At 42.4% G+C, this 22,167-nt stretch overlaps 2 long non-coding RNA genes across 3 annotated transcripts in view; one reads left to right on the plus strand and one right to left on the minus strand.

The window, feature by feature from the left end:
* Nucleotides 1-22,167, minus strand: part of LINC02937 (long intergenic non-protein coding RNA 2937) — an 86,180-nt gene that overhangs the window by 26,025 nt on the left and 37,988 nt on the right. Inside the window, exons 2-3 of one of the 2 annotated variants that reach the window (NR_184105.1) lie at nt 3,340-3,546; nt 1,572-2,257 (exon numbers count right to left, since the gene is read on the minus strand). This is a non-coding gene — a long non-coding RNA (long intergenic non-protein coding RNA 2937). Of the gene's footprint in view, nt 1-1,571; nt 2,258-3,339; nt 3,547-16,012; nt 16,436-22,167 lie in introns of those variants that run through there. The other variant, NR_184106.1, reaches the window with a different exon arrangement.
* Nucleotides 15,937-22,167, plus strand: part of LINC00484 (long intergenic non-protein coding RNA 484) — a 63,701-nt gene continuing 57,470 nt past the window's right edge. The window contains exons 1-2 of the long non-coding RNA NR_135306.1: nt 15,937-15,961; nt 16,103-16,237. This is a non-coding gene — a long non-coding RNA (long intergenic non-protein coding RNA 484). The remainder of the gene's footprint in view (nt 15,962-16,102; nt 16,238-22,167) is intronic.

The following is a 22,167-nucleotide window of genomic DNA, read 5'->3' on the forward strand; positions in this document are numbered from 1 at the left end:
GCCCTAACCCCCAGTATCTCAGAATGTGACTGCCTTTGGAGACAGGGTCTCTAAAGAGATAAGTAAGGCTAAATATGGTCCTTAAGGTAGGCCCTAACCCAATATGACAGTGTCCTTATTACAAGAGGAGATTAGAACACAGACAGACACAGAGGGATGACCACATGAAGACACAGGGAGAAGACAGCATCCACAAGCCAAGGAGACAGGCTTCAGGAGAAACCAACCCTGTTGACACCTTTATCTCAGACTTCTACTCTCAAAACTGTAAGAAAATTAATTTCTGTTGTTTAAGCCATCCAGTCTATAGTACTTTGTCATGGCAGCCCTAGTACACTGCTGTACCTCTCCCTCGAGCCTGGGCAGAACTTTATAAGTATCTTAACTAACAGAATGCAGTGGGGATGATACTGTATAACTTCCAAAGCTAAATGGGGAGTTGTGGAAAAGCCATAGAGTTTACACCTGGTTTTCTGTCTCTCATGGATGCTTGCTGGAACCCCAGCTAGCTGACATCGAGTGACAGCACGGGGAAGAACTGAGGCCCCCAAGCCAACAGCCAGCTCCAATCACCAGACACATAACATGAGTAAGGCTAGAGGGTATGCAAGCCCCCAGCCTCAGTGTCTTTCAGTTGAATTCCCGTCTGAATTCCCAACCCACTGAATTCATGCACATAAAAAACAATTGTTGCATGCCACCATATTTTGGGGTAATTTATCATGGAGTCATGGTAACCAGAGTAGTCTTAGACAGCAAATAGTGCACACTTCAATTTTCCAATGAGAAAACTGAGATGAAGAAAAACTCAATGATCTTCCAAGGCCAAACAACTAGAAAGTGGCAAAATGAAAGGAATTTTGCTAGAATGAATAATTATGAAATGCAAATTACAAGGAAGGTAACACACTAAGCCACTGGGGGCACAAAGATGGCCTTGGGGAAAGCCCCCTTGCCTATGCAACTATGAGCCCACATGCCATGAGCCTTTTCTCCTAAGAACTATGTAAGTAGATCTGTTGGATAAGTTCCAGGAAGTGACATATTTCTTTTAAATTTTTTTTAGATAGTGTCTCATCTTCCCCCAAAGAGATGGCAATAATTTATACTCCACTCATAGCCTCTGTGAATGCCTGCTTCAGTAGAGAGTCGACAATATTATGGGTTGTAGGTGTCTTTCCTTTCTGATAATTGGAAAAGCTTTTCATTCTTTCACAAGTTTGTTTGTTTGTTTGTTTGTTTGTTTGTTTTGCGACGGAGTCTCTCTCTGTCGCCCAGGTTGGAGTGCAGTGGTGCAATCTCGGCTCACTGTAACCTCTACCTCCCAGGTTCAAGCGATTCCCCTGCCTCAGCCTCCCAGGTAGCTGGGATTACAGGCATGTGCCACCACACCTGGCTAATTTTTGTGTTTTTGGTAGAGATAGGGTTTCACCATGCTGGCCAGGCTGGTCATGAACTCCTGACCTCAAGTGATCCACCCGCCTCGGCCTCCCAAAGGGCTGGGATTACAGGTGTGAGTACAGATGGAAGGGGCCCTGGGATTGGAGGTGGGGAGGGAGGTTCATACTCACTGTAAACTCCATCCTACAGTTAGAACTTTTCATTTCCATGTTCAAGCATTTCTTCTCACACACAGAAAACCTACTTAATATAAAAGTGGGTTCTTATAAAAACAAAAGTTTGAGCATCCCTGCTGTACACCCTTAGGCTTTTGCACAAAAATGGGTTCAGGCTTCTTTCATCCAGATCTTGAACTAAGCAACCCATAAAAACACAGAGCTGTGCTCTGTGTCACCAGGTACATTAGAAACTTCAGTCCAACAACCAAAGATAAATGGAAGCAGTTTAGGTCTTTAATGCAGTCTAGGGATGACAGACAATGTTCCCATTCAGTACACCTAGAAAGAATACCTGAAAGAAATGTGACCTTACAGGTCCCTGACTGCTCAGCACCCCTCCCCTAAAACCTCTCTCCTCCTCCCTCCCCTCCAGCACCCTTCCCGGCCTGTCCAGGAAGAGCAACTCCCAACCCAGCTGAGCCAGCTTGTGCAGATCACATCTGCTTCTCTTGTCACCTGTCCTGGATTCTGGACAACAGAGGCGGGCCAAGAAGCAAGTGGAAATCCTGCCTTTTCTTGCAGCGGGGATCTCAGTAGACTGCAAACACTGACAAGTTATCTTTCACGCATGCCTCAGTTTCCTTCCAGCTTTTTGTGCTGTTCCTTCTACAGCAAGAATTGCTTTGCTGAATGCTCTCCTGGGGAAAATAATTTAATTGTTTCAATTGTGCCAATTATGTACTTAAGGGTCAATGTTTGTTTCCTATAACATAGCAGCTTAACTAATTAAAAAGATTAATCTTGGGTAGAAAAGAGCCTGTATTTACGCAAATTACATGAAGCAATGACTTGCACACAGGGACAAGAGTGTCCTGCCCTGCAAAGGCTTACTGAGGCTGCGTGGAGTCCAGGGTGCCCTAACTGTACATTACCACCCTCGGGGGCATCTAGAACCCAAGATGACCACAGCAGAGCCTTGAGGTGCGGCAGGATGCCAGAACTTTCCACAGCTCCCCAGAGGACCCCAGCAAGTGGTGGGGGCCGAGACTAGAATATATGGCCTTTGGTTGGTGATCAGAGCCTTTTTTCTTCCCAAAGGGAATTTTCTAGAGGGGAATTTAGGCCAAATCAAACCCTCACATCCCTTTCACTCACAGATGCTAACAAATAGTAACAAACCAGAGGAAAAAGGAATCTTATTTGGGAAGAGTCCTCAAAAAGTATGCTTTTTTTTCTCCCTCACCGAAGTGGTCCTCAACTTTAACTACTTCTGGACTTAGCCTGGGAGCATGAAGAAATCAGCAGGCCTGGGACTCCGCCCCAGAGGCCCTCAATTAAAGAGTTTAGGTGAGGCCCGGGCCTTCTTAAGTGATCTCCTCTGCAAAACCACAGCTTCCGCACCTTCACACTGACCCAGGGATGAAGGCATGCCTGGAGGCCGAGCTGATTCTAATGGCTCCACTGCCCCTTGGACTATTAGGATGGTCAAAGTGCCTGCATGTCACCCAGTATGATGTGACCTGATGGTAGGAACCATGCGTAGCCTGGGTTCATCTCAGGCAGGGTCATGGACTCACTCAGCATATTACAGTTGCTGTTCTCAATCCACCAGCCGCCCTCTCTGGTTAGCCGATTTGGGGTCTCCTGCCTTAGGTGGCTGGGCTCTGCCTCATTACTTCCCCCCATCTCCTCCCTCATGGATGTCAATTCCAGGGACTCTGTGGTTGTTGGTGCCCTATCACCACCGCGTGCATTTTAGGGTCTGGGGGTAACTTGTCACCTGATTTGGCTCTCCATTATTGGCCATGGGTTTTTGGTGTTGCTCTCTAGGTGCTCAGTTTTTCACTGTGTGTGTTGGAGGAGCATCCTGAGCAGAGCAGATCCCGACTTGGACAGAAACCTTCTTGGTTTCTCGGAGGAGTCTCCTCTGTGAGTCTTCCAGAGCCCGCCCTGAACCACATGACTGGGAGCTCATCGGGCACCTCTCCTGGGAAAAAAAAATGCTAAGTCACTAAGCAAAAGGTCAAGTTGTTTTCAGAAAATGTTTTTTAAAAAGAGAAGGAAAATTATGATATGGCTTATAAACATTTGTTTCAAAAATTCTTATTTCTAAATGAAATTTAATGCCACTTGGAACTTTATGCAGAATAACTCGGTCTTCGATAAATCTGAATAAATGTACATATGTAAGTATATATGTGTCTCTGGCTTTCTGTAACTCAAATTCAGGGTTTAAGGTTTGCATTTTTTGAGAATGTTGCAAACATACCTCAGAAATATTTCAGGTTTGGTTCTAGATAACCGCAATAAAGCAAATATCAGAATATGGCTAGTTACACTAATATTTTGGTTTTCCAATGCATACAAACATTATGTTTATAGTGTTCTATAGTCTATTAAGCATGCAATAGCATTATGTCTTAAAAAAATGTACATACCTTAATTTAAAAATACTTTATTTCTAAAAAATGCTAATGATCATCTGAGCCTTCAGCGAGCCATAATCTTGTTGCTAATGGAGGGTCTTGCTTTGATGTTGATGATTGCTGAAGGCTGGGGTGGCTGTGGCAATTTCTCAAAATAAGACAACAGTGAACTTTGTCATATTGATTGACTTTTCCTTTCACAAAAGACTTCTCCATAGAATGTGATGCTGTTTGACAGCATTATACCCACAGTAGAACTTCTTTCAAATTGGAGTCAGTCCTCTCAAACCCTGCTGCTGCTTTATCAACTACATTTATGTAATATTCTAAGTCCTTTGTTGTCACTTCAACAACGTTCACAGCATCTTCACCAGGAGTAGAATCCATTTCAAGAAGCCATTTTCTTTGCTCATCCATAAGAAGCAACTCCTCATCCATTCAAGTTTGATCATGAGATTGCGGCAATTCAGTCACATCTTGAGGCACCACTTCTAATTCTAGTTCTCTTGCTGTTTCCACCACATGTGCGGTGACTTCTTCCACTGAAGTGTTAAACCTTTCAAAGTCATTTGTGAGGGTTGGAACCAACTTCTTCCAAACTTCTGAGAATATCAATATCTTGACCACCTTTCATGAATCGCAAATGTTCTTAATGGCATCTAAAATGGTTAATCCCTTCCAGAAGGTTTTCAATTTACTTGGCCCAGATACATCAGAGGAATCACTATCTATGACAGCTGTGGCCTTACCTAATGCTTTTCTTTTTTTCTTTTTTTTTTTTTTTTTTTGAGACGGAGTCTCACTCTGTTGCCCAGGCTGGAGTGCAGTGGCACCATCTCGGCTCACTGAAAGCTCTGCCTCCCAGGTTCACGCCATTCTCTTGCCCCAGTCTCCCAAGTAGCTGGGACTACAGTCACCCGCCACCATGCCCGGCTAATTTTTTGTATATTTAGTAGAGACGGGGTTTCAGCATGTTGGCCAGGATGGTCTCGATCTCCTGACCTCGTGATCCACCCACCTGAGCCTCTCAAAGTGCTGGGATTACAGGCGAGAGCCACCACACCCGGCCAGCCTAATGCATTTCTTAAACAATAAGACTTGAAAGTTGAAATTATTTCTTGATCCGTGGGCTGCAGAATGGTGGTTTTGCAAACTAGGCATTGAAGGAACATACCTCAAAATAACATGGGCAAACATTATAAGAAAGAATGATGTTGTAGCAAAAGAAACTATCAACAGAGTAAACAGACGACATACAAAATGGAATAAAAAATAATAACAGCCAACATTGTACTGAATGGGCAAAAGCTGGAAACATTCTTATCAAGAATTGGAACAAGACAAAGATGTCCACTTTCACCACTCCTATTCAACATAGTGCTGGAACTTCTGGCCAGAGCAATCAGACAAGAGAAAGAAATAAAAGGCATCCAAATAGGAAGAGAGAAAGTCAAACTATCTCTCTTTGGAGACAATATAATTCTATACCCAGAAAACCCCATAGTCTCTGCCCAAAGGCTCCTAAATCTGATTTTAAAACTTCAGCAAAGTTTCAGGATACAAAAGCAATGTCCAAAAGCCAGTAGCATTTATATACGCCAATAACATCCAAGCTGAGAGCTAAATCGAGGACACAATCCCATTTACAATGGCCATAAAAAGAATAAAATACCTATGTATTTTATTTCTGATACCTAGCCAATCAGAGAGGTGAAAGATTTCTACAATGAGCATCACAAAACACTGCTGAAAGAAATCAAAGATGACACAAACAAATGGAAAAGCATTCCATGCTCATCGATAGAAACAATCAATATTGTTAAAACGGCCATTCTGCCTAAAGCAATTTACTGACTCAATTCTATTCCTATCACACTACCAACGATGCTTTTTTCACAGAATTAGGAAAAAACTATTCTAAAATTCATTTGGAACCAAAAAAGAGCCCAAATAGCCAGACCGATCCTAAGCAAAAAGAACAAAGCTGGAGGCATCACACTACTCAACTTCAAACTATACTACAAGGCTGCAGTAACTAAAGCAGCATGCTACTAGTAAAGAAACAGATACATAGACCAATGAAACAGGTTAGACCGCCCAGAAATAAAGCCCCACACTTATAACCATCTGATCTTCAACAAAGTTGATAACAACAAGCACTGGGGAAAGGACTCCTTATTCAATAAATGATGCTGGGATAACTGGTTAGTCATATGCAGAAGATTGAAACTAGAGTCCTACCTTTCACTATATATCAAAATCAACTCATGATGGATTAAAGACTTAAATGTAAAATTGAAAACTATAAAAACCCTACAAGAAAACCTATTAAATACAATTCTGGTCATCAACCCTGATAAAAACTTCATGATGAAGATTCTAAAAGCAATTGCAACAACAACAACAAAAAATTAACAAGTAGGACCTAATTAAACTAAAGAGTTTCTGCACAGCAAAGGAAACCATCAACAGGGAAAACAGGCAACCTACAGAATGGGGAAAAAATATTTGCAAACTATGCATCCAACAAATATCTAATAACCAGAATCTATAAGGTACTTAAACAAATTAATAAGCAAAAAAAGTGGGCAAAGGATATGAACAGACACTTCTCAAAAGAAGAATACACATGGCTAACAAGCATATGAAAAAAAATGCCCAATATCAATAATCATTAGGGAAATGCAAATCAAAACCACAATGAGATACCATCTCATAGCAGTCAGAATGGCTGTTCTTAAAAGTCAAACAATAACAGATACTGGCAAGGTTGTAGAAAAAAGGGAATACATACACTGTTGGTGGGAATGTAAATTAGTTCAGCCACTGTGGAAAGCAGTGTGGAGATTTCTCAAATAACTTAGAATTATCATTCAACCCAGCAATCCCATTACTGAGTATATACCCAAAGGAATATAAATCATTCTACCATAAAGACACATGCACACATACATTCATCATAGCACTGTTCACAATAGCAAAGACATGGCACTAACCCAGGTGCCCATCAGTGGTAGAATGGATAAACAAAATGTGGTACATTTACACCATGGAATACTATGCAGCCATAAAAAAGAATGAAATCATGTCTTTAGCAGCAACATGGATGTAGCTAGAGGCCATCATCCTAAGCAATTTAATTCAGGAACAGAAAACCAAATACTGCATGTTCTCACTTATAAGTGGGAGCTAAACATTGAGCACACATTGACACAAAGAAGGGAACAATAGATACCAGGGCCTACTTGAAGGAAGAGGGTGGGAGGAGGGTAAGGATTAAAAAACTACCTATTGGCTATTCTGATGATTACCTGGGTGACAAAATTATCTGTACACCAAACCCCTGTGACATGCAATTTACCCATGTAATAAACCTGCACATGTACCCCTTGAACCTAAAAGCTGGAAAGAAGAAAAAAGAATGATGGTTGTATTAGCAGGCATGAAAACATTAATCTCCTTGTTACTCCCTATGAGAGCTCTTGGGTGACTGGGTTCACTGTCAATGAGTGGTAATATTTTGAAAGAACTTTTTTTTTTTCTAAGCAGTAGGTCTCAACAGTGGGTTTAAAATATTCAGTTAACCATGGTGTAAACCAGATATGCAGCCGTCCAGGTGTCGTTGTTCCATTTACAGAGCACAGGCAGAGTTGATTTAGCAGAGTTCTTAACTGCCCTGGGACTTTGGAAATAGTAAATGAGTGTTGGCTTCAACTTAAAGTCACCACCTGCATTAGTTCCTAACAAGAGAGTCAGCCTGTCCTTTGAAGCTTTGAAGCCGGGCATTGACTTCTCCTCTCTAGCTAAGAAGGTCCTAGATGGCATCTTCTTACAATGGAAGGCTGTTTTGTCTACACTGAAAATCTGTTGTCTAGAACTGCCACCTTCATCAATAATCCTAGCTAGATCTTTTGGATAATTTGCTGCAGCTTCTACATCAGCACTTGCTACCTCACCTTGCACTTTTATGTTATGAAGATGGCTTCTTTCCTTAATCCTCAAGAACCAACATTTGCTAGCCTCCAACTTTTCTTCTGCAGCTTCCTTACCTCCTTCAGGCTTCTAACTCTAGAATTAAAGAGAATTGGGGCCTTCCTCTGGATTAGGCTTTGGCTTAAGGGAATATTTTGCCTTGTTTGATCTTCTATCCAGGTCACTAAACCTTTCTCCACATCAGCAATAAGGCTCTTTCATTTTCTTATCATTTATGTGTTCACTGAAGTAGCACTTTAAATTTCCTTCAACAACTTTTTTTTTGCATTTACAATTTAGCTAACCATTTGGTGCAAGAGGCCTCACTTTCAGCCTATCTCAGTTTTAGACATGCCTTACTCACTAAGCTTAATCATTTCTAGCTTTGATTTAAAGTGAGAAATGGGGGACTCTTCCTTTTATTTGAGCATTTAGAGACCATTGTAGGGTTATTAATTGGCCTAGTTTTACTATTCCTTTGTCTCAGGAAATAAGGAGGTCTGAGGAGAAGGAAAGAGATGGGGGAATGGCCAGTGTGTGGAACAATCAGAACACACACTACGTATATTAAGTTCGCCATCTTATACGGGTGCAGTTTGTGGTGCCTCCAAAACAATTATAACAGTGACTTCAAAGATCACTGATTACAGATCACCATAACAGATATAATAATGAAAAGGCTTGAAATACTGTGAGAATTACCAAGTGCCAAGTGTGGTGCAAAATGAGCATATGCTGTTGGAAAAATGGTGCTCATCAATAGACTTGCTTGATGCAGGGTTGCCACAAAACCAGCCTTCATAAAACATGCAATATCTACAAAGTGCAATAAAGCAGGGTATCCCTGTACTTATCGAGTATTAAATTATGTTGTGACTTCTTTCTTTCCTTGACTGTCCGTCGGGCCAGAGCCAGATTTTGGATTCATGCGTGTGCAGGCTGCTCAGTGTCCATGCTTGTCACGGGTGTTGGCATTGGAATCAGAGGCAGCATCTGCTCTGTCCTAGCTCACAGGCTTCCTCTGGCAGAGCACAGGGACCAGGGCTCCAGGTTAGGCTGCAGGTCAGGAACGAGTTAGTTCAGAATGAAGGCAGGTACTGTGTTTCATTTTGGTTTTATTCTGTTATGATTTCCTTGCTTCTCTTTCCTGGTGAGGCTTCATCTTACCTGTCCTTGGCCAGTCCTTCCCCAGATCTTTCTGGTAATGAGCTTTGTTAGCTCAATTAAATAATGCCACATTCCCACAAAAGCTCCGTGAGTGACAAAGGATTGGCTCCAAGCATCCAATTGCCAAGCCTCACATGGCTTCCTGAGTATCAGGTGACCTACATCCTTCCTGCATTTCTGAAAAGTCATCAGTTAAAATAACTCTGGAGCTCCAGGAAGACTGGGCAGCTGGTATAGCCCTTTGCAAAGGTGAAAGCCCTAAAATCACACATGACAGCTGGTCAAGGTGTCCCCAAGAGCTGGTCAAGGTGTCCCCAAGAGCTGGTCAAACACAAACTAGACCAAGGATGTCTGCACATCAGAAAAGCTCCACTTAGAAAACAAGGAATAAAAACAACACGGGAGAATAAGGTATATATGTGGCTCACGTTACATTTCCCTTGGATAGCGCCGCTCTTGCGGCAGACTTGCCAGGTGCCAAGCTCTCTCCCCTCCCCTCCCTGTGTGTTTCATGAGCTATTTCCCACTGGTACATCCTCCTCTTTACTCTCTGGCACAGCCAATCCTGCAGCTTCCCAAAAGTCCAGCCCAGTCTTCTCCATTCAAGCCAAATTGAGTCCTGCCAAGCTTTGTTCTCTGATAACTCACTCAAGTCTGGGGACCGACGTATATCTCCTAGATGTGACCCTGCCTCAGGTTTATAACATCATTGAATCGGCCAAAATGAAGTTAAGAACCTTGGCTTCCATTGGCCTCTTCCTCCAAAGAACCCAGATTCTGTGCAATGATAAACCAGGCAACTGATAGGTACACAGCTTGGTGGCTTCTGCAGAGCCTCCTGCACTTGTAAACATTCATCATTCAAACCCTGGGCAATGTTAAAACAGCATCACATCACACAGTGCATTTCCCATTTCAAAGCCTCTGAAAATGACAGGAAGATGGTTCCCAGAGCACCCTCAGAGCCCCCTCCCAGAGACCACAACAACTGGTTACCAGAAAGAACACAGGTTATGTCTCTCGTTCCCACAACTTATGATACCAGCGCACAGATATCAGATGTGTAAAAGCCTGACCCACAGCTTCCTTACAATATAAACACATCATTTCTACCCTATTTCTTTTCTTGGACTGGTGTCTGATGGGGAGAACCTACACTTCCACCACCAATAGGGAGGATTAGTTTTCTGTTTCTTTTTTTGGTCTGCGATGTTACTTATTTCTTAATTAGCATTTGTGCTGACATTTCTCCTGCTATCTTAGAGCCTAGAAATGACTTATTTGGGGAAAGCTTAAAAAGGTATTCATTCAGCCTTTCTTTCCCCAGTGGGAAATGCGATAGAGGAGAAAAACAATTGGATGCCCTTCACTCACTCAAAATCTTCAAGAATTTAAACCATCTCCACCAGCATGAAAAGTACTCAACAGTAAGGGGCATGGTAAGGAAGAAAACGGATCTAAATACATACGACTCCGTACAGAAGGGATGAGGGTTCTGTAGGGCAGATACACACAGATACTCAAATATAGACTTCAGCATAAATAGATACTTCATTTAAATACATTCGGCCAACAGACATATGTGGAATTATGGGGCACCACTATTTGAAACTCACAATGGCACCAAGGCTGGCTCTGACCACCATCTCTACCTTTCCCATCCAAGAGCTGCTTCAGGTGGAGAGAGGTGAGGCAGAGAAAACTGATCATGATGACACAGCTGCTGCTGGTAATGCTTGTTATGAACACACCAAGCCCTGTGCTGAGTGCCTGGCATTAATGGTTCATTTAACCCCACCATCCTTGTGAGTTGGGTGTGACGCCAGGTGGACAAATGAAGGTGGGAAGGTACAAAGGGGCCATGCAATATGCCCAAGGTCAATGATAGGGCTGAGATCTAGACCCAGCTTCATGCAGCTCTCTGCATATGTGCTAACCATGGAGTGCAGTTGGCCCTCCAAATCTGGAATCAGCATCCCTGGATTCAACCAACTGTGAATAAGAAATATTACAAAAAAAAAAAAAAGATGGTTGCATCTGTACTGAACATGTACAGGCTTTTTTCTCATCATTATTCCCTAAACAATGTAACACAACAACTATTTACATAGCGTTAGGTATTATACGTAGTCCAGAGATGATTTAAAGTATAACGGAGTATGTGCATAGGGTGTATGCAAACGGGGACTTGAACATCTGTGGATTTTGGTATCCATGGGGTTGAGAGTGGGAGGTCCTAGAAACAATCCTGTTTGGATACAGAGGGATGACTATATATTTCCTTTCAAGAGAAAACCAAGAAGGAAATTATTCATTTGTTCATTCTTTCATTCATCCATTTCCTTTGCAAGTGTTCACTGAATGTACAATGGAGGAGACTCCCTATTGATCTCTGATAAAACATTAACTGTAGAGCCCTTTGTGGGCCTTCTTGGAAAACAAAGTGGTCAATGATGATTCCTACACCCAGTCAACCCCGCACACCCCTGGAGAAACTCAGAACCCTCCAGCCTCCTTTTCTTCTCTCTAGAATTAAAGAGCTACCTGTTCCTGGGAAGACTATTTACCATCTGAACAGCATCAGGACATTGGGGTAACCAAGATAGGTTTTAATCAAGCACAAAGCCAATTTTCCTCTGCAGAGAATAACACAGAAGCTCCAAATCATTGAGCAAGGATGCGGTAAAAACCTTAATAATAAGAACTGACATTTGTTGAAGATTTACTTTTTGTCAGGCACTGAGCATATTTAATTTTCAGAACTCTATACAATAGGGACTGTCATTATTGCCTGGTTTACAGCTGAGGAAATTAGGGCTAAGAGCGTTAACCTGCCTGGGTCACACAAACAAACGCCAGTGTTTGAACATAGGTCTTTCTGATTGAATCCACGCTCAGCATCAATGCTAGACACACATTCCCAAAGTCTGAAGTGCTGCACAGAGAGGCCGAAGCGATGATGGCCCCATGCAACACGAGTCATGGAATGGTGCTATTATTTCTTTTTTTTTTTTAATTATACTTTAAGTTCTGGGATACATGTGCAGAACATGCAGGTTTGACAAATGGGATCTAATTAAACTAAAGAGCTTCTGCACAGCAAAAGAAACTATCATCAGAGTGAACAGGCAACCTACAGAATGGGAAAAAATGTTTTGCAATCTACCCATCTGACAAAGGGCTAATATCCAGAATCTACAAGGAACTTAAATTTACAAGAGAAAAATGAACAACCCCATCAAAAAGTGGGCAAAGGATATGAACAGACACATCTCAAAAGAAGACATTTATGCAGCCAACAAACATATGAAAAAAAGCTCATCATCACTGGTCATTAGAGAAATGCAAATCAAAACCACAATGAGATACCATCTCACACCAATTAGAATGGTGATCATTAGAAAGTCAGGAAACAACAGATGCTGGAGAGGATGTGGAGAAATAGGAACGCTTTTACACTGCTGGTAGGAGTACAAATTGGCTCTATTATTTCTAAGCCACAGGCTGTGACCTGCTTACTTCAATGCATATTAAATGCCTGGACTATTTAGAACTATCAAAAAATAGTGCAAAAATTTCAGCCTATTATCTTAACAATGCAAACCTAGAGTCCTCATCCAAGACTCATTTATGTTGTTTCCATAGTAAATATTATTTTCTGCTACAAAGGGCTCCACCAGAAAAGAGAAGGCACATAGTCATGTCAACACCCTCCCCTGATGCAGTGGCTCACCTCCCTGATCCATTCCAGAAAACTGAAAGTTCATCTCCTAGGTGATCCAGGTTTTGAAAGGAGACGATGGGGAGGGGGACTCAGGCTGGGGTTAAATCCTGAGGTGGCACCAAGAGAGACTGAATTTCAAATGTCACCTGTAGGAGATGTCCCCAGTTAGAGAAAGCAGGGAGTGTGAGGCTGGTGTCTGCATCTTTTCCCTTGTGCAATATCTAAATGCATTAGATGAGAGGAGCTTTTGAGAAAATGCTTCAGTTCATGATTTTGTACAACGTGCCCCTGACACTGTCTGTTAGGCTTTGAGGAGAGAGACAGACAAGAAGGAAATGCTCAAAAACATTAGCTGTGGCTGCTGCCTGCTGTTTTTCAGCTGGCAAAGAAACACACATTGGCTGTGTGCCTGGCAGACCAGGTCCTGGGATACTGGTTTGGAGTATCAATTCTTGGAAATCCTGCTCCAAGAAGCCACGAGTTCAACAGGAACTTTGCTCACCCTTCACCCTGAAGCCAGGCTCCTCTGGGCATGGAAGGAATCTGTCTCTCACTCAGTCCTGGGGCAGCCAGCATTAACCTCCTGTGTCATTGGAAACATATTTAGGAGAGGGGTCGAAGAGGGAGACAGTATGGAGGGAACCAAGGGGTGGAAGGACACCTTATGGCCAGGCCCCTTCTTCATCAGTAGGAGACTAGGGACTGCAGGTGAAACCACAAGGGAGAAGAAAAGTGTGATTTCTCTAGTGAGCTCATTCTGCGCACCTTGCCTTCCCATTCTGCGCTTCACACCCATTGAGGATTTACACACAGAAAACTGGAAGACGAGGGAAGAGAGGTGTCTTAGTCCGTCTGTGCTGCTGTAATAAAATACCTGAGATGGGTAATGTATGAAAAAGACAAGTCTCTTTCTTACAGTTCTGGAGGCTGGGAAGTCCAAGACCCAGGCGCTGCAGGCTCCCTGTCTGCAAGTCTGCTTCCAGGGGGCCTCCAACCTGTGTCCTTGCAGGCAATGGGGTGAACACCATGGGAAGCCTCTATGAAGCCCTTCCTCCCATTCACCAGGGCTTGCACTTAGGACTCAGTCAACCCCTAAGGACCCACTTTTTTTTTCTTTTTCTTTTTTTTTTTTTTTGAGACAGGGTTTCATTTTGTCCCCAGGCCGAAATGCAGTGGTGCCAACACAACTCACTGCAGCCTCGACCTCCTGGGCTCAAGTGATCCTCCCACCTCAGCCCCCCAAGTAGCTGGGACTATAGGTACCGACACCATGCCTGGCCAATTTTTGTATTTTTTTTAAGACGGGGTCTCACTATGTTGTCCAGGCTGGTCTCAAACTCCTGAGGTCAAGTGATCCTCCTGCCCTGGCCTCCCAAAGTGCTGGGTCTTAATACCATTCCATTTGCGAGTAAGTTTCAAGGTATGATTTGAGGGGACACTGAGACGGTAGCAAGCAGTGAAGCCCCATCCCGCTGGTCTGCACCGTGAGCTGGCCGCCCCTCCCCGTGTGTGCAGGGCAAACAGCTCCGGCCGTGGCCTGCGCTGGGAGTGTGAGCAGGAAGGAGGCGCGCTCATCCATCCAAGAGGCTTATCCCGCGAGCACAAGGGAGCCGGGGCCTGGGCCGCCGTGGGAAGGGGCTCCTGCCTTCCGGGGACGCGGTCAGGGAAGTCCAGCCGGGGTGCTCTCTGCACTGCGGGTGCCGGGCTCGGCAGAGGCCAACCCGGCAAAACGAGCAGGATCTCCCGGCCCCACCCTCGTGGGCTCCGCCTGCCCCAGCAGCCATCCTGCCATCCTCCCTGCGAGACAGGTGACTTTCCTCTCTGATGCGGTGCATCTGTCGTCTGTCTAACGGGCCCAGTCCCCAGTGAAACACCCCCAACCAAAGACACGAAGGGGAAGGCGCAAGCTTCTACCAAGCTCAGTTTGCCCATCTGGTGCCCACCTGCCTCGTATTTGGTGACTTGGAGGAGAGGAAGGTCGTTTAGCCATTTTATCGTAGCTCTCTGAGCTTCCCAAGGGCCCTCCACGCCTCTCAGAGGGCAAGGCGTTGCCCTGCTTAGCCCGACTTCATCGTCTTCCCTTTCCAACAGGCCGCTAAAAATGGCCTGCGAGTGTGGACGGCTCTGACGTTGCAAAACCGCGCAAGAAACAAGGGCCGCAGGTGCAGGCGGGGGCCGAGGCCCTCCCCAGCCAGAGCGGGCAGCCCTGTTGCTTCTTATTTAAATTCTTGTTTTCTATCCTATTTCGAGGTCCTCTCTGGGATTTGAGGAATGTGGAGACGTGCCAGAAGTGACACCGAGCACTGAGCGGTCAGGCTGGCCGGAGGCGGGGCGTTCAGGGACACGTGCCCCACGCGGGCGCGCCTGGGCCTTGGAACAGAGGCTGGGAGGGGTGAGGGCGAGGCTGGGGTGGCTGGAGAGGGCTGGCTGCGGGCTGGGCAGAGAAAGAGGCTTTGAGACTCCCGAGCAACTTTATAATGCAGGAGAAAAGTTAGCCTTTTAAATGAGGTTAAGTACCCCGAGAGTGATGGTAAATAGAACAGGCAGCTCTTTAAGTGGAAATAAAGTGCTTTCAGTACCGTCATAAAGCTGCAAAACGCAGCTTAGCTGGGAGAAGTGGATTTCACGTGGGAGAGAGAGCAAATTAGAATGCAGGCTCAAGAGCGATTTAAGAGGGGCCCTTCAACCACGGAAAGAAAGGGAGAGGGAGAAGGGAGGAGAAAGAGAGAGTCTGATTGATTGATTATGGCCAACTGTGAGAAGCAGAATTCCACACTGAGGTCTGGCAGCACCCTAACAGGCACTTCTGCTCTCCCCCCACGATGTGCCCACCCCACCTCTTGCAGCCGAGCAATGCAACCTCAATAGGAAAACAATCTGACTTCAGTGCAATTTCACTCCTAAGGATTTTCCACATATTTAAAGATGCTTTGCATATTTTTTTTCTAAAATCCCCCATGAGACTCTACAGTATGTTCCTGAATTCTTTTTAACCTCTTAACTTGTCAAAAGAGCATTTCAAACCCTAGATCTCAGGGGTCCCTGCCAGGCATTTTCAAGTTTGATTTTTGTGGGGAGGACATCAACAAGTTAAAACCTAAATGAGCAACAAAGTAAGTGTCATTTTGTGTTTTCTTGGGTTAAGACAAACAATAAAGGCTGGCTTGATATGTTAACAACATTCCCGATTTACTTGGTCAGAACCCAAACCCCAAAGAGGCTGAATTGAAGTTACATTCTGTCTCCCGCTGCAGCGAGGTGACGTGCGTTATCAGTTTTGTCTTCCATGTCTTCCTCATCCTGCTGTTTGCTCCACGGCTCTTGACAGGATGGAGACGAGGAAAGAACTTCCACATCCACATTCAAAACGTCTGCCAGAACTCCCTCAGGCAAGTAAGAGATGATTTCTCTTCGAGAGCTTTGCATGTTGATGAGACAGTGAGTCAGGAAGAGATTGGATTGAACTTGCTTGAATATAAAGCTGCTTGAGATTTTCAAATTGGAGTCTTGTACCCTTTCTATAGAAAAAGTCACTGGCTTGTCACTACTCGGAGCATGAATTTCCACGTTACTAGAGTTTCTTTGATCTTTAGAGAGAAAGTGTGAAATAGTTAAAGGCTTGAAAGTGGCCAGAAAATTCATAAACATGCATTCAAAAATAATTTCATTCCGTTCTAAAATTAGAAATGGAAAAAGTCAAGGGAATCAAAACAAGTTGTTAAAATCAGTATTCATGTTGGATCAAATCTTTGTTTGTTTCAAATTCATTTTATTGATTCTTGAAAAGCCCTGGGAGGAGGTGACTCATACTATTCCCTCTGAACATAGTTGCAAACCATGTTCCTGAGAAAGGATGACTCTCCCAAAATATATGGCATGCAGCGGGGCAGGGGCCTGGGCCTCAGAGCCTTTTCCCTTGTCGGAATGCAAACTTCCATTCTGGGAATGTAAATTGTGTAGATGATAATATCATGCTTTGGCTGTTGGAAGAAGAAGCATTCAGGAAACGTGCCTCAGGCATATTCAGTTTGTTGAAAAACTAAGAATGTCACATATACAGTTTGGCCACCTACTTCACAGTGGTAACTTAATATAGCATTGTTATTTTTCTATACAGCCAGAATGCTAAATTTGATAGTTGAATAGTTACTGGATTTGTTTCAGAAGGAAACGTCTAGATTCTATGCTGAACAGCTCTCTAAAGGAACAACAGAAGCAGAATATTTTTCTAGAAGACATAGAATTTGGCTAGGGCACTTAAAAAAATCTATTAATAGATCCTCATGCCAGAGATTCAATAACATACTAGTGTCCTGAGCAAATTGTACAAGGCACTGTGCCTGGCCCACCCTTCTGCCCCACTGGGCCTGGGTTAACAGCCCAGTGTGTCTAGGCTGGGCACTGGCATGTCTAGATGCACTGACTTTTTTCTTATGTACACACACTTAGAGTTTACAGGTACATGTTCTTCTTTGTGTGTTTGCTATATTTGATAGAGAGCTATCTTTTTTCTTAAATGGATGGAATACAATTATTTAACATATCTTTTTCCTTAAGTGGATGGAATATAATGTATTTAACAATTCTTCCTGTTGTTTCTAATCCAATGGCTAAACACCCAAACAAACGAGCCCTGATTTGAATTTGCAATTTCCTGAGACTGGACATTTTTATATATGTTTATTAGCTACCTGTATTTCGTTTTCTGTAAATAGCCTATTTATTTTGTCAATTTTTCTGTTTCGTTGTTTGCATTGTTCTTATGGTTTTGTGGATGCTCATTATACATTCCGGATACTATTTATTTGTTTGATAAAATCTCCCTGTCTGTTACTTGTCTTCTCCAAATGTTTCCGAACAGCTATTCTTGTGCATTTTCTTTTGCATATAAACTTGAGAATCAATTTGACAATTCCAACTAAAAAGAGAAATCTTTGAATTTTTATTGTGATTGAAATGAGTTTATATTATTTGGGAAGAATTGCAATCTTTATAATATTCAGGCATCCTTTCAGGAAAATGATAGGTCTTTCTATTTATTCAAAATGATTTGTGTTCTTTAAGGTTCAACTGTAGATTTCCAATAGATAGCCTCTATTAGGTTGAGGGAATATTTTCTTTTTTTTTTTTTTTTTTTTTTTTTTTGAGACAGAGTCTCGCTGTCGCCCAGGCTGGACTGCAGTGGCGCAATCTCGGCTCACTGCAGTCTCCGCCCCCTGGGGTTCACGCCATTCTCCTGCCTCAGCCTCCCAAGTAGCTGGGACTACAGGCGCCCGCCACCTCGCCCGGCTAATTTTTTTTTTGTATTTTTAGTAGAGACGGGGTTTCACCGTGTTAGCCAGGATGGTCTCGATCTCCTGACCTCGTGATCCGCCCGCCTCGGCCTCCCAAAGTGCTGGGATTACAGGCGTGAGCCACCGCGCCCGGCCGGAATATTTTCTATTAATAAGTGAGCAAGGATTTTTCCTTAATTAGGAAAAAATATTGAATATTTTAAAATAATTTTATATCCATTGAGAGAATACATAGTTTTTCTCCTTTGTCCATGAAGGGGATAAACTATGTCAGTAGATTTTCTGATATTGAACCATTCTTACATTCGAGATATTAGTCCTGATTCTTCATAATATTTTACTTCTTTATTATAAAATTAAAATCAGTGAGCTAAAATTTACTTGGAATTTTCATATTTATGTTCATAATTATATAAACCATAATTATATGATTTTTTTTTCTTGTACTCTTACCTAGTTTGGGATAAGGATTATATGAACTTTATACAATGAGTTGGGACATGTTGATATGGTTTGGCTGTGTCCCCAGCCCAATCTCATCTTAAATTGTAGCTCTCATAATTCCCAGGTGTCATGGAAGGGACACGGTGGGAGGTAATTGAATCATGGGGGGGGGGGGTCTTTCCCATGCTGTTCTCATGATAGTGAATAAGTCTCACAAGATCTGATAGTTGTATAAAGGGCAGTTCCCCTGCACACATCCTCTTGTCTGCTGCCATGTAAGAAGTTCCTTTGCTCTTCCTTTGTCTTCCACCCTGATTATGAGGCCTCTCCAGCCATGTGGAACTGTGAGTCAATTAAACCTCTTTCCTTTATAAATTACCCAGTCTTGGGTATGTCTTTATTAGCAGCATGAGAGCAGACTAATACACATGTCTTGTCCATTTCCTGTTGCTGTAACAGAATACCACAGACTGGATAATTTATAAAGAAAATAAGTTTTTTGGCTCATGGTTCTGAAGGCTGGTAAGTCCAATAGCATGTTGATGGCCTCTGGCAAGGGTCATTCCACTCCCGAGATAACAGCATTGACCCACTTATGGTGCCCCCATGACATAATTCTCAAAGGCCCCTCTTCTTAATACTATTACAGTGGCAATGAAATTTCAGCATGAGTTTCAAAGGGCTCAAGCATTCAAATCAAAGCAGAACATATGTCTCATTTTTTACTTACTGAAAAAAACATATGTAAGATAGGGAATACTTATTCCTTGCAAATTTGGTAAAACCTACCTATAACCTCTGGGTCTGGGACTTTTTCAGGGACAGGGTAAAGTGTTTTTGAAGGGAGGATTCTCACAACAAGCTGGATACTTTGGTAGGCCTATAGGTTACTTTCTGTTATAATTCTACCCTCTGCTTCCATGATTTAAGATGAATGCTTACAGCTTTCAGCTGTGTTTGCTCTCAAATTTATTTACAAGTATACCTGTATAATTATTTTATTTAATTTAACATTATATAGACCAATGGAATAGTTGCCAAAAAAAAGAGTTTTCATTTTCATGAAGACTAAGTTGAATACTTTAGGAGGACTAGATATAATTGAGTCACTTAGATAAATGATTGGTACTTAAATGTTCTAATACAACTGGAAACAATGGGTGGATGCAGGAATTTATATCCTTATTACTCAAAGTGTGGCCCATGCACCAGTATCACCTGGAAGCCTGTTAGAAATGCCAAATCTCAGAACCCCACCCACACCTACTGAGTCAGACTCTGCATTTTAACAAGATCCCCAAGACACTTGTTTGCACATTGAAGTTTGAGAAGCTCTGATTTACAAGAATTCCACAATTGGAGTACAATTGTGCCCCCTTTATCTGACGTTTCCCTTTCCTCAGTTTCCATTACCCAAAGTCAACCATGGTCCAAGAATATTAAGTGGAAAATTCCAGAAGTAAACAATTTATAAATTCTAAGTTGCAGACTGTTCTAAGTGGCATGATGAATTCTCTTGCTGTCCCACTCCATCCGGCCCAGGATTTAAATAATCTTTTATCCAGCTGTAGATACTCCCCACCTGTTGGTCACCTAGTAGCCATCTTGTTTAGCAGATTGACTGTCATGGTATCAGCATCACAGTGCCCTGTGTTCAAGTTACTCTTATTTTGGTTAATAGTGACCCCAGAGGGCAAGAGTAGTGATGCTGACAACTCAAATATGCCAAAGAGAAGCCATAAAGTGCTTCCTTTAAGTGAAAAGGTGAAAGTTCTCAACTTAATAAGGTTAACAAATACTATGCTTATGTTGCTAAGATCTGCGGTAAGAATGAACCTGCTATCTGTAAAATTGTAAAGAGGGAAAAAGAAATTTGTGCTACTTTTGCTGTCATACCTCCAGCTGCAAAAGTTATGGCCGCAGTGTTGATAAGTATTTAGTTAAGGTGGGAAAGGCATTACATCTGTGGATGGAAGACTTAAACAAAAATGTGTTCTGACTAGGCCAAGGTGGGCAGATCAGGAGGTCAGGAGATCGAGACCATCCTGGCTAACATGGTGAAACCCCGTCTCTACTAAAAATACAAAAAATTAGCTGGACTTGGTGGCGGGCGCCTGTAGTCCCAGCTTCTTGGGAGGCTGAGGCAGGAGAATGGCGTGAACCCAGGAGGCGGAGCTGGCAGTGAGCCGAGATGGCGCCACTGCACTCCAGCCTGGGCAACAGAGCAAGACTCTGTCTCCAAAAAAAAAAAAAATGTTCCGACTGACAGTAATCATGTTTGGTATCTGTGGTTTCAAGCATCCACTAGGGGTCCTGGGACATATCCCGCATGGATTAGGTGGCATTACTGAACAGTATATGTTTTAACATTTTCCCTTTGTTTCAAAAATCAAAACCCATAAATATCAAAAGTGAACTATAAGTGTTTACATAAGAAAAATGAGGTAGAAATCCAATCAGAAGTCCAATTTTAAAGAGAAGGCATTAACCCTGCATAAAACATTGGTGAGTGAATATATGTTTTTATGGTTTCAATTAAAGTAAAAGTTTGAGATCCATAATGACTTTCTTTATAATTCTTCACTTTAAACACTTTTTTCACTTAACCAACTGATTATTGGCCTGGACTGTGTTGGATAAGAGGGATTCTACTGTAATTTATATTTTCCTGGATTAGCATTACTTTCATCTAAAGTCTCAAAAATATTGACATAGAGCTGTATTCAGTTCTAATCTTTTTATAACTTCAATTTTGGACACCTTTTCACTTCAAATGCTTTCATTTATGCCTGGGTCTGCTTACTGTTTTTGTTTTTTACTTGTTCAGAATGGCCAGAAATTTATTTAAATTATTTTTTATTTTCAAAGCACTACCATTCTGCTTGTTTATACTCTCTTTCACTGATGTTTACTTTTATTTTTATTATTTTCTTACTTTTGCTATCTTTGCACTTATTTTATTATTTTTTTCTGCCTCTCTTGTTTTCTAGCACCAGGATTGAGAGCTACAAATTTTCCTCTGATGACTGCTTTGTCCATGTCTTTCATGACGTGGTACTCTCATGGACATTCATTTTTCAATCCATAACTAACTGCAGTTATTTAGTTTTTATTTTCTTTTTTATCTTAAGGGGTGTTTTAAAATATTGAAATAGAACCATTTTGCCAGCCTTTTGATATTAATGCTTACTTTTTCTGCAGTCTGTTCAGAAAAGGTGGCTTATCTGATTTTTTGATTTTGGAATTTCTTAAGATGTTCTCTGTGTTCTACCTTAGCAACAATTTTTGTGGATATTCTGTTTGTGTTTGAGAAGAGGGTATGGTCTTTGTTGGCATAAGAGAAATGTGTCTGTATGTATAGATTTATATACATTTATAGTTAAGCTTGTTAATTATGCTATTCTACTCTTCTACATCCTTTTTTTTTTTTTTTTGTCTCCCTTGTCAAACTGCCCACCCAGCAGTTATTCCACTCCACTTTATTTGCCCATACACCCTGATATTTTTTTCAGGGGTAGCAATATGCCCATGCTAGGAGACAAATGATGATTAAATCTAAGCCAGCATTTCTTAACAGAGGC

Source organism: Homo sapiens, chromosome 9 (genome assembly GCF_000001405.40).
Source record: "Homo sapiens chromosome 9, GRCh38.p14 Primary Assembly".
NCBI classification, from domain to species: Eukaryota; Metazoa; Chordata; class Mammalia; order Primates; family Hominidae; genus Homo; species Homo sapiens.